The 12,743-nt window shown below is 38.5% G+C and overlaps 1 protein-coding gene and 1 long non-coding RNA gene across 2 annotated transcripts in view; both read left to right on the top strand.

Moving 5' to 3' along the window:
- Nucleotides 1–12,743, top strand: part of NPHP3-ACAD11 (NPHP3-ACAD11 readthrough (NMD candidate)) — a 164,322-nt gene that overhangs the window by 11,777 nt on the left and 139,802 nt on the right. Inside the window, exons 7-12 of the long non-coding RNA NR_037804.1 lie at nt 2,426–2,582; nt 4,869–4,943; nt 6,312–6,485; nt 9,150–9,253; nt 10,235–10,349; nt 10,622–10,765. This is a non-coding gene — a long non-coding RNA (NPHP3-ACAD11 readthrough (NMD candidate)). The remainder of the gene's footprint in view (nt 1–2,425; nt 2,583–4,868; nt 4,944–6,311; nt 6,486–9,149; nt 9,254–10,234; nt 10,350–10,621; nt 10,766–12,743) is intronic.
- NPHP3 (nephrocystin 3) overlaps nt 1–12,743 on the top strand; it is a 41,801-nt gene that overhangs the window by 11,727 nt on the left and 17,331 nt on the right. The window contains exons 7-13 of the mRNA NM_153240.5: nt 2,426–2,582; nt 4,869–4,943; nt 6,312–6,485; nt 9,150–9,253; nt 10,235–10,349; nt 10,622–10,765; nt 11,233–11,330. Of these exons, the coding sequence (NP_694972.3) occupies nt 2,426–2,582; nt 4,869–4,943; nt 6,312–6,485; nt 9,150–9,253; nt 10,235–10,349; nt 10,622–10,765; nt 11,233–11,330 (867 nt within the window). The remainder of the gene's footprint in view (nt 1–2,425; nt 2,583–4,868; nt 4,944–6,311; nt 6,486–9,149; nt 9,254–10,234; nt 10,350–10,621; nt 10,766–11,232; nt 11,331–12,743) is intronic.

Below are 12,743 nucleotides of genomic sequence, written 5' to 3'. Positions count from 1 at the left end.
AATAGGGTGAGTCCGGGAGAGGCTGGCTGAGTAGGAATATTCCAGATAAAGGTTTAAAAATGAGGAATTCTTTGCTCATGATTGGCCCTCTTTCATTACATCAGCACCCTTGTTGGGCAGACCAGACTCACTAAGAAAGCTTGAACCTACGTAGAAGGAGAGGTGCCTCTCCCTTTGCACAGCAGCACAGAGGGGCGACTGTGACTGGTTTTCCTCAGGGCATCATCAGTCTTTCTCAAGGGATGGGGAGGCTTCCGTGCCTAAATAGTAATTCAGTCACCTTTCAGGACTTCTTAGGCCCTATTATTGGTTTCATTCAGCTTTTTTTTTTTTTTTACCAGATCACCTATAGAGTTTCGTTATAGAATTTAGGCAAGTGGAAGCCCTTGTTTGTTCTATACTTGAACTTTCTTCATTATGCCTCAGCTTTACTGTTTTAACTCCTCCAGCCCCACAAAGCTACATCTTCTCTTGCAGCTCCTCCCCTACATTTTTGTCTGCTCAGGCTACTTTCTGAAGGGATCCTAAAGTGCAACTTATCAACATATTAGCTGGCCTGTTATACTATCTAACTTCAGCAATTATCACCTCATGACTCGTTGTTTCATCTGTAGCATCTGCTTCCGTTCCACCAGATTATTTGAATAAAATACCAGAGATCATACCATTTTATCTGAGCCCCATGGGTCAGTTTTGTAGGGAATGCCTTGAAATATGGACGTGTGCCTGAACAGCAAGCCCATTGTTTGGTCTTCTAATGGGCCACAGACTTTTCCCACAAAGCACTGACAGATGAATCATTGAAATTCCAAAATTCGATAGAACATGGCCAGAGTGATTTTAATATAGAAAACTTCTGTGGTTTGGGTAGAATGGATTGGCGCAGAAATATACAACAGAATGTTTCTTAATTTTTAATATTTTGGGCTAGTAGTCTAATTTGCAGATTCTGAATCATACAATATCGCCCTTCTACACATACACACACACACACCCCCCACAAAAACATTTGTTTCCCTAGACAACTTTCATTTAATGCTTTCTAGAAAGGGGAATTGGTCGCAGTGTCCTTTGTTGTGTAGAAAACCCCAGTAGATGTGGGCTGCACTCAGTGGCTCATGCCTATAATCCCAGCACTTTGGGAGGCCAAGGTGAGAGGATCACTTGAGCCCAGGAATTCAAGACTTGCCTGGGCAACATGGTGAAACCCCATCTCTACAAAAAATACAAAAATTAGCTGGGTGTGGTGGCGTGTGCCTGTGGGCCTAGCTACTCGGTAGGCTGAGGTGGGAGGATCGCTTGAGCCCAGGAGGTTAAAGCTGCGGTGAGCTGTGATTGCACCACTGCACACCAGGCTGGGTGACAGAGTGAGACCCTGTCTCAAAAAAAAAAAAAAAAAAAAAAAAAAAAGGGAGAGAAAGAAAGAAGGGAGGGAGAGAGAAGACCTCAGCAGATTATTAGTTCTAGGACTTTTTTTTCTAGAATTTTCATTAAAAATATAATTTTGGTTCCCTATAACAAAGTTGTTTTTTGGGATTTTTTTTACCTTCACCTCAGTCACCCAACCTCTTCCAATCTGTCTCCAGATCTTTCCTGTAGTATATATTGGGTATAAGGATTAGGGTCATTTATTAGATGAGAAAAGTCTGAAAGAACTGGGAAAGAGAAAACTCTCAAAACTTTGGGGCTGCCATCCAAACAGAGAAGCACCTCTCCTTCTACATAGGTTCAAGAATTCTTAGTGAGCCTGGTCTGCCCAAGAAGGGTGCTGACATAATGAAGGAGGGCCAATCAAGAGCAAAGAATTCCTCATTTTGAAACCTTTATCTGGAATAAAGGCCTCTCCTGGACATGCCATATTTTAGCTCCTATGTTTCATTGTAAGAGATTTCTCCTGTGATTCAGCCATGAAGGGAGGCGGGTCAAATTAAAGGCATTAAAAAGAACTCCTGGAAAAGCAGTGCAGGAGCCTGGCTGTTGCCCTGGATGGTGCCTGTGTACCTACCCACGCATGACCTCCTGCCTACTTGTGTTAACATGGAAATTATACATTTTTAAATGGAATTTTGTTTGCCATCTATTTTCAAAGTCTCATGAGTCTAGTCCATTATTTTGAGCCAAGTTTAAGAGTATTTTTGAGATCTTTTTTAGGTTTAAAAAATAAAGTTTTATGTGCTTTACAATTTAATGCATAATTTATTATATTTATGCTCACTGTTGGCTAATGAATGTATTATATTTTAAGACCAAACTGGAAGAGAGCCATAACACATCCATTTTTGGAAAGCTTCACTTGTTGTGCAGTTGGACCTTTTCTGGCCACTTGTCACTGTAGTAAAACTCCATTATTGGCACTTAGGTTGATTAACTAACTGCTTGCTGCCACAATGCAGTATAGCACACAAAATGCTGATTTCCAATCTAGCCTTTTATTGGAAGACTGTGAAGAAGCTTTTCTGAAAAACCCTGAAGGAAAACCTCGATTAATCTTTCATCGTTTGGAAGATGGAAAAGTCAGTTCTGACTCTGTCCAGCAATTGATTGATCAAGTTTCTAATCTAAACAAGACCAGCAAAGCCAAGGTAAAATTCATAGGCATTTTTGAAAAACACACTTAGCTGAGGGAAAAACTGGAGCAAAGGCCATGAGGTGGGCATAAGCCTGGCATATCTGGGGAGGGGAGAGAAACCAGTGTGGCTGGAACAGATAAGTGAGGGGAGTAGGAGGAGAGGGGGCCTCATTGATTGTGAAGAACCTCGGAGGCCATTTTGAGGATATTAGCTTTTCACTTGGAGTGAGATTGGGAGCCACTGCAGGACTATAAGCAACAGAATGAGGGCTGGCGTGATCATCTGACAGTGATCTTTCTGGCTGCCATGTTGAGAATAGGTGGTCATTCAGGGGTAGTGTGCAGAGTCTGAGAGCCATTGCCATCATACAGGTGAGAGATGCTGGTGACTCCAAGCAGGGTGGTGGTAGAGGAAATGATGAGAAGTGGTAGGATTCTGAGTAAATTTTGACAGTAGAGCCAATAGGATTTCTTAACAGATTGGTTGTGGGTTGTGAGAAAAGAGAGAGAAATAAATCGCAGTGTGTGGCTAGCAAGAGTATGATCTGTATGATCAGATGGTATTTTGTGCTTTTCTCCCAAGCACAGAGTTCTTCTGTCTACTGACCAAGGATTAGTGTCAGGAGGAGACTTTTTTTTTTAAGAGACAGAGTCTCACTCTGTCACCCAGGCTGGAGTGTGGTAGCTTGTTCATATCTCACTGAAGCCTCAAACTCCTGGACTCAGAGATCGAGCAGTCCTCCCACCTCAGTGTCTTGAGTAGCTGGGACTACAGGCACAGGCCACCATGCCTGGCTACTTTGTTAAAATTTTTATAGAGATGGGGACTTATTATGTTGTCCACGCTGCAGGAGGAGACTTTTTATAGTGACTTTTCCTAAGAGCATTGGGGAAAGCAAAAAGCTGATGATGGGATGAGAGAAATTTGATCATTCCTAGATGCATGTTGGGATAATTTTTAGAATACATATTACAGGCTTTTTATTACTGTACACGGAGGCAACTTGGTAAATGTCTGTAGTTAATGTGAATAATACAATTGAAAACAACTCTAGGATTTTTACAGAGTTTTCACTTCCCTGTGCCCAGCCAAGAAATAAAATCAAATATGAATACAAGCATTTTTCTTTCCATCATTTAGTATTGAAAAGATAGCTTGAGAGCAGCATGACACATAAAACTAAAGAGACTAAGACAAAAAGGAAGTGCATTTTTATTATAATTTCCAGAGCCATTTCATTCTTTGTTTTAATTATTGTAGTATCAGCCTAGTCCACTACGTCCCACAAAAAAGATATTAATTTATCTTTTTTATTCTATTTATTCTATAACCTTTACTTTAAAAAATTTAGTATGCTGGAAGGATGAGTTTATTTTATAAAATAGGAGTGAAATAAGATCTCTCTGCCATGATTATAAATGTAAATGTAGGGTAAATCTCCATGCTTGTTCACTTGGTATGTATTGTAAAATCATTGCCTTATTCTAATTGTATCAAATATTAGTAGTAGTAGTAGACATGTTCTTACAGATTGGGCATTCTTCTTTCAGCCAGCTCAGTGAGACTACATAGTATACTATTTTGCTTTTGTCTTTTATAGAATTATAGCTTTATTGACATAAAATTGGATTTTGATGCATTTTGAAGGGTAAATATGTTGAGTGGTATGGAAATACATAAGAGAAAATTTGGAGACAGAGCAAAAAAAAAATGTATACTTCTTGGTTTTTTTTTTGTTTTTTGTTTTTTTTTTTGAGACAGAGTCTTACTCTGTCTTCCAGGCTGGAGTGCAGTAGAGCGATCTCAGCTCACTCCAAGCTCCGCCTCCCGGGTTCACGCCATTCTCTTGCCTCAACCTCCTGAGTAGCTGGCACTACAGGCACCGGCCACCACGCCCGGCTAATTTTTTGTATTTTTAGTAGAGATGGGGTTTCACCATGTTAGCCAGGATGGTCTTGATCTCCTGACTTCGTGAACCGCCCACCTCGACCTCCCAAAGTGCTGGGATTACAGGCATGAGCCACCGCGCCTGGCCTACTTCTTGTTTTATTGCTCCATTTTTCACACTAAATCCCTTGTGTGACCTTGGACAAGTTACTTACTTTGCCTCAGTTTACTCTTCTATAAAATGGGGATAATAATAGTATCTCCCTCCTAAGGTTGTTGTGAAGATAAATTAGCTAATATGTGTTAAATATTTAGAATAGTTCCTGTCACATAAGCAGTATAAAAGTATTTACCACCACTTCCTTCTGATATTATGGTTTTTCTCATTGTTCTTAAATGATTTTTATCTAGATCATTGATCACTCAGGAGATCCTGCAGAAGGAGTATATAAAACTTATATTTGTGTAGAAAAGATTATTAAACAGGTAAATATGCATTCTCTGTAAGTTTTCATCTAAAATATTTTAAGATCACTTTCTATGAAATTGATTTTTCCAGAGAAAACCACTTGCTTGTCTTTTTGAACACAGTACCTGAGGAAGGCGCTGTTGTTTCTGTTGGGAGTCCATCCTGTGGTATGTTCTTAGTATTACTAGGACCATGTATTAATATCTTTATCTCTCATCTATCTCAGAGGACTATTTGATGCTTCAATACCTAAGTGTAAAACATATTACAAAAGTGCTAGCCAAAAACTATTTAAGAGAAAGTGTTCATTTTATTCAATAGGGAGGCTCCTCTGTGAATTTTGAATTTTTATATATTAGGAAAGTCTCTCTCAGGTTTTCCCCCCATGTTATCCCTAACAGAAGAGGGGGATGAAAGCATGCCTCCAGGGGGGTGAGAACATGGACCAGGGAGGGGCCTTGAGCTGGAAGTCTCTATGAAGTTTCATGTGCTATCTTGAAAATTTATGTGAGTTATATATTCTGCCTGATATTATGTCTATGTTTGTGTTTAATATAAAAAAATTTTAAATTATATATTAGAAAAAAATAGTAATAGTGATTATTTATTATTCCCCTCTCCCTCAAACAGAATGGGCGCAGTGGGAAGATGTACCATGTTTAGCCTGTGGTTGCCCACACCTTCTGACACCTCCCCCAGCCAACCAAAAACCCTATTTGAGAAGTAGGAAGCTTGAAGATTTATTATTAGAGAAAAAGAGTGAGCCCCAAAATGATATGACCTCTGGCAACACATTTTGTATGGTGCTCTCTAGTATAAAGATTGTCTTTATCAAATTTGAGCTTCACAATCTTGCAAATTTTAGGACCAAGATAAATTAATTGAGCAGAATGAATGGCAGCAAGTGAAAGTGAATGTACTTACCATCATTAGTGCTTGAAGGATAACATATTTTCAGTAACCTAATATAAAAACTGAATATGACCACAGAGATACTTGAGATCAAGAAATCACATCTTAGTAATTCAATTCTTATAGCATATTTCCTAGCCATTAGTACTTTATAACTATTCACCAGCCAGATACAACCAAAATGTTGTGTAACATTTTTCAGAAAACAAATTCCATGGGATTCAAATATTCCTTTAATTTTATTTTTATAAAAAGAGGTATTCATTTCTATTATTTTAATATTTTTATTTCTTTGTTTTTAAATTAGTGATTTTTTTGTAGTTATCAGTTTATTCTTGTAGGTATTATACAAAGGCTGTATGTTTGAACTTGCCCTCCCAAAAGTAGGTGAAGCCCACTTTGGGCCTGGGTGACCCCGCTGTAAGATCTTTATTTTCTTCATTCATTTTTGTGTGGTTGTTCTTTGTGTTTAGGACATACTGGGTTTTGAGAACACAGACTTGGAGACTAAGGATTTGGGCAGTGAGGATTCCATTCCAGAAGAAGATGATTTTGGTGATGTTCTGTGGGACATACATGATGAACAAGAGCAAATGGAAACTTTTCAGCAGGCTTCTAATTCAGCCCATGAGTTGGGATTTGAGAAAGTAAGTGCTTGGAGTATTATTGCAACAAAGATCTGTCACCACTTAAAGGCTGTATTATGATTGTATTTTCATCTAAATATAGTTAAGGTTTATGATTATATTAGTTGTCTAATCTCATGGCTTGATTATCCATGTTGAGATGTGCTTAGGTTTGTGTCATAAGAAAGATATGTGAGATTCAAATGTGCTTATAAAGACCGAACATTTTTAGTTATGGACTAGAATTTATCAACCACATGTTTATTATGCTACCATCTGCAACTCACTCAGACCAGGATTAGGATAGCTAGGAAACTTGATAAGGATAGTAAGGCTGAGGCCAGGTGCAGTGGCTCACGCATGTAATCTCAACACTTTGGGAGGCTGAGACAAGCAGATTGCTTTAAGCCCAGGAGTTTGAAACTAGCCTGAGCAACATGGCAAAACCTTGTTTTTACAAAAAATACAAAAGTTTACCAGGCATGGTGGTATGCACCTGTAATCCCAGCTACTTGGGAGGCTGAGGTGGGAGGATCAATTGAGCACAGGAGGTCAGGGCTGCAGTGAGCCATGACCACACCCCTGCCCTCCAGCCTGGGTAACAGAGCAAGACCCTGTCTTTAAAAAAAAAAAAAAAAAGAAAGAAAGAAAGAAAAGAAAAAAAAGAATAGTAAGTCTCTCTGTTCTTCCAATTCTTGAATCAAAATATTACATTCAGAAAACAAAGCATAGTAGTTCATGAAATAGGCAGATAAGTCCTTCTTTATCAGTCTTATCAACATCCTTAAATATCTAAACAAATTATCAGAACTTGAAATATACAATGAAATCTATGTGCAAGTTAAAAAAATATAATAGTTAAAAATTAATGTAAGAACTAATATTTTAAAGAATACTATAGTAGCTAATATTAACAGTTGTATTTTTACAGAACTTTTTGAATTTAGACTGTCCGTTAATGTCCTGGTTCCATCATTTACTAACTAGATTTCTTCAAGTTACTTGGCCACTCTAAACTTTGACTTTCTTGGCTGTAAAATGAGAATAACTAATAGTACCTACCTCATAGGTACTTGTTGCAAGGATTAAATCAGATAATGCACATAAAGTGCTTAGCACAGTACCTGGCCCATGATAAATGTTAGTCGTTATTTTATGAGAAGTATTGCTATTGTTATTTTATAAATAAAGAAACTGAGGTTCAGATTAGGGTTTGCCTAAGAGTACACAGTGAGTAGATTGCAGATCTGGGAGTTGAACCTCGTTCTTTTCTGGCTCCAGATCCTATGGTTTTTCTTTTATAGCCATGGGTCTTAACCTGGGAAGCATGGATCCTATAAATGGGCTTTCTGTGGGACCATGAACTAAGTTGTTAGGACTTATGAGGTAGTAAATCAAGACTTTCTTTTCTCCTTCAGAAGTATCATTTCTATTTGAATTATTTGAGTTCCTGGGGAATATATTCTTTAGAGATATAATTTTTCTGCTTGTTAATTAAATATAACAAGTAGAAAAATTGATTGAAAAACTATACCAAGTAATTCATTATAGTTGCTGGAGAATTGTGTTATTCTAAAGCAAGCCTAAAGCTGGCTGCAAACTACTTACTATACACTTTTTTAAATTCCTCATCAGCTATCATTTAGACCACTGGTACACTGAAGAAAAAGTCAAGTCTCAAGATAATTTTTGAAACTCCTTAATAAGTACTAAGATATTTTGGTTTTTGAGTGTGTCCTTTTTAGCTTTGAACCAGTTTTGAGTTTCTGGGGAAAACTTGGGAAATAGGAATTCTTGGACTTTACACTGAACTCACTTAGTTTCAAAAAGATCTCAGGCAGCCTAGGCTAACCTGATTGTCTTGAGCAGATTGGGAGACTCCAAGTCCCCAGACAAAACCTGCTGTTATTTGGACCTTTTCTCACCCCCAGAAACTGAGGTGATTCCCAGGACAGGTGTTTATTCCTCTGACCAGGAGATCTAGGTGGTCTGCTAGTACCTTCAAGGTCTTCTGCAGTATTTTCTGTGATTTGGGGGCTACAGTGAGCTCCCTGAAACATTCTGCAAACATTTGAGTGTTGCAAAACCCCACAGGGACCTGAAATGTTGTCCTTTACCCATTAATTTACAGCAATACTACATGTAGAAGAAATTGGGGCCCATTTTTTGTTTGTTTGTTTGTTTGTTTGTTTTGAGACGGAGTCTTGCTCTGTCGCCCAGGCTGGAGTGCGGTGGCACTGTCTCGGCTCACTGCAAGCTCCACCTCCCGGGTTCACGCCATTCTCTTGCCTCAGCCTCCTGAGTAGCTGGGACTACAGGCGCCCGCCACCACGCTCGGCTAATTTTGTTTTTGTATTTTTAGTAGAGACAGGATTTCACCGTGTTAGCCAGGATGTTCTCGATCTCCTGACCTCATGATCCACCCGCCTCAGCCTCCCAAAGTGCTGGGATTACAGGCGTGAGCCACCGCGCCCAGCCATTTGAGGCCCATTCTTAGTTTACTAGTTCAGTCATGTTTTTGCCAGCCATAAAAGTAGGCAATTATGAGGGTGCTGTCACTAAAAATAGATTTCATTTTCTCACACAGCTTTTCTCCAGTATTTTCAAAGAATAATCAGAAGTTGACTCTTCAGTAGTCTCAGAGGCATGTGCTTCCTTACAATGTAAATTCATTTTTTTTTCTAGTATTACCAACGCCTTAATGATCTAGTGGCAGCACCAGCCCCGATTCCACCTCTTCTCGTGTCTGGAGGACCAGGTTCTGGGAAGTCTCTTCTTTTATCAAAGTGGTATGATGCAGTGCAATTAAATTATTGTTGTCATTGTTTGAATTACTGAATCTATTCAACAAAATGTATTGCATGCCTGCCTTCCTGCGCGGCCTACACTAAACATTAACAAAGTAAAAAGGAATAAAACAATAGGTTCATGCCCTGAAATGCATAGAATTTGGATGTTAGAGAGAAGACACAGAATGAGAAAGGAATAGGAAGCATGAACATTTATGATTATGTATATAAATCACATAAGTAACAGCTATGGGAGTGCTTTGTAAGGAAGTGATCATATGTGATATGTCATATAACACATGTTATTAAGTGGATTGTAATGTGCCTTTATTTGTAATTATTGCCTTTATTTAAAAGTTTCATTGATACTTTAAATATTTGAAACGACAAAAGCATACTAGTTAGAGTGAAATACATTCTACAGAACATCAAAATTAAGGATAATCTTCACCATGAATGCAATCTAGTTCTTCAAATTATGGACTAAGGTTCATATAAGCTAATAAACTTTATTATTTCATTATGTTATTTAAAAACAAGCAGTAAAAATATTTTCTTTCTTTCATAATTATTTATATTGAAGGGTTAGCATATGTAGTTGTCTCCTTTTTATTACCCTTTTATTTAAAGTTATGTTTGGAAAATAATATTTTTGTATCTAACAAATTTTCCTCTAGTAGGAATTTTTAATTAAAAGTTAATGCTTGTTTTACTAATACCTTACCCTCATATGTAAAGTACTTTGGTTTCTGTTAATTAACATCTATTTGTAATTAAAATGAATCTACAATTTTTTAAAAGATTATTTAGAAGGATCTAAAAGTGGAGTAAAAACAGAAATCTCCATATTTATTTAAAAGTAACTGACCACCTGATTGCTCAGTTAGGCAACATTTGATGTTTACTGCATTGTGAATTCTTTTTTTATTGACAGTCAAGGAACTTTATCGGTTTTATAAAAGTTCTGTCTTTTTCTTTCAGGATTCAATTACAACAGAAGAATTCCCCCAACACACTGATTCTTTCCCATTTTGTGGGAAGGCCCATGTCAACCAGCTCAGAGTCCTCCTTGATTATTAAACGACTAACTCTAAAGGTATAGTATCCCATCTTTTGGAATTACAGAATTTTATTTAGATTCAGAAATTGTTGGGACTAATAAGTACCTACTGGTAAACCAATTTTCAGTATTATCCACCTGTTTTGGTTTTATATAAGGTTAAAAATAATATTCGATACAATCGGGTCCTCTTGGTGACTTGATTTTGGTTTATAAAAAAGTAAGAATAGAAATATTTCCCCCAGCTCTGTAACTACTTCAGTAACTACGTGTAACTACTTCAGTTTGTGTGTGTTCTTATCTTGTAGTTGATGCAGCACTCTTGGTCAGTCTCTGCTCTGACACTGGATCCTGCTAAGCTTCTGGAAGAATTTCCACGTTGGCTGGAAAAACTCTCTGCTCGTCATCAAGGCAGCATCATCATCGTTATTGATTCTATAGATCAAGTTCAGGTACCGTTTTCCATTTGTTACCTATTGATATGCTCAGAAAGAGATGTAAATTCAGTAATAGCTAGAGCAGGCATTTATATGTTTGTGAGAAGAAAATATGATGTTATTTTTTATATTTCTGCTTTATTTCTAGGGAGGTAACATGGATTAAAAAAATATATCGTATGCCCACAGACACTAATATCTTATTAAGAAAGACCAACTGAATTTACACAATTAACAAAGACTATTCGTTCTGACATATTTTTAGGGCCTTGACATTTCCTGACGTGTCCAGAGTTCAGATTGGTGATAATAATGTTTTGCTACTTGTTCTTTTAAAATTCTAAAATAAATCACCCCAAAATAAGATTTTTATCCTTAATAAGATAAACTTAATGAGAATTTCATTTTATTTGGGGAGCTATTATTGGATTGTTTTGAAATATTTTGATTAATAGATTGAATTTTGTTTTTATATTTTTAAGCAAGTTGAAAAACACATGAAATGGCTGATAGATCCACTGCCAGTGAATGTAAGAGTAATTGTTTCTGTGAATGTAGAAACATGCCCTCCAGCATGGAGGTACGATGCCAACTTTAGTTCTTTCAGAGTACATGAAATGTTTTAAGTACAAACAAGGAAAGATTTTTAATATGCATTTATGGTTTTCACATTTTTTATGTAACTTGCAGTGAGGATGGGGAGAAGTGGGTGAATTTATGAAAAAAAAATACAATCTATAGAATTGTATAGATGGTGTGAACCTGTAATCCCAGCACTTTGGGATGCCAAGGCGGGTGGATCACTTGAGGCCAGCAGTTTGAGACCAGCCTGGCCAACATGGTGAAACCCTGTCTCTACAAAAAATACAAAAATTAGCTGGGCATGGTGGCGCATGCCTGTAATCCCAGCTACTTGGAAGGCTGAGGCAGGAGAATCGCTTGAACCTGGGAGGCAGAGGTTGCAGTGAGCAGAGATCATGCCACTGCACTTCAGCCTGGGTGACAGAGGGAGACCCTGTCTCCAAAAAAAAAGGGATTTGGGGGGAGGTTAGATAGATCTGGGATGCAAGGGAAAAGAAAGAGCCAGGATGATTCTGGAGTTTCTGACTTGAGAAATTAATTAATGTAGCTTCATGAACTGAAATAGGAAACACAAAGGACAGGCAGGTTGTGGGGAAAAGGTGATGAGTTTAGTTTTTAATCATGGTTAGTTTGAGTAGCTCCACGTAACGATGTCTAGTAGGCAGTTAAATTTATAGATGAGGAAAATAGAGAAAGGGCCGGGCTGGGAATAATAGACACCTGTTATTTTGAAATGCAAGCTCACTTTAATGGTTCTTTAAAAAGTAGTAGAGTGGCCGGGCATGGTAGCTCACATCTGTAATCCCAGCACTTCGGGAGGCCAGGGCGGGTGGATCACCTGAGGTCAGGAGTTCAAGACCAACCTGGCCAACATGGTGAAACCCATCTCTACCAAAAATACAAAAATTAGCCAGGCATGGTGGCGGGTGCTTGTAATCCCATCTACTCGGGAGGCTAAGGCAGAAGAATCGCTTGAACCCAGGAGGTGGAGGTTGTAGTGAGCTGAGATTGCACCACTGCACTGCAGCCTGGACGACAAGAGTGAAACTCCCATCTCAAAAAACAAACAAATGGCTGGGCGCAGTGGCTCATGCCTGTAATCCCAACACTTTGGGAGGCCGAGGCGGGTGGATCGGGAGGTCAGGAGTTCAAGACCAGCCTGGCCAACAGTGAAACCCCGCCTCTACTAGAAATATAAAAAATTAGCCAGGCGTGGTGGTGGGCGCCTGTAATCCTAGCTACTTGGGAGGCTGAGACAGGAGAATCACTTGAACCTGGGAGGCAGAGGTTGCAGTGAGCCGAGATGGCACTACTGCACACCAGCCTAGGCAACAGTACGAGACTCTGCCTCAAAAAAAAAAAAAAGTAGAGCAATTGGATCCCATGGAGCAGTGTTTCTCAACCTGTTTTT

The sequence above is a fragment of the Homo sapiens genome, chromosome 3 (genome assembly GCF_000001405.40).
Source record: "Homo sapiens chromosome 3, GRCh38.p14 Primary Assembly".
NCBI classification, from domain to species: Eukaryota; Metazoa; Chordata; class Mammalia; order Primates; family Hominidae; genus Homo; species Homo sapiens.
The sequence above is the reverse complement of the archived record's forward strand: the minus strand, read 5'-3'. Positions and strand labels throughout refer to the sequence as shown.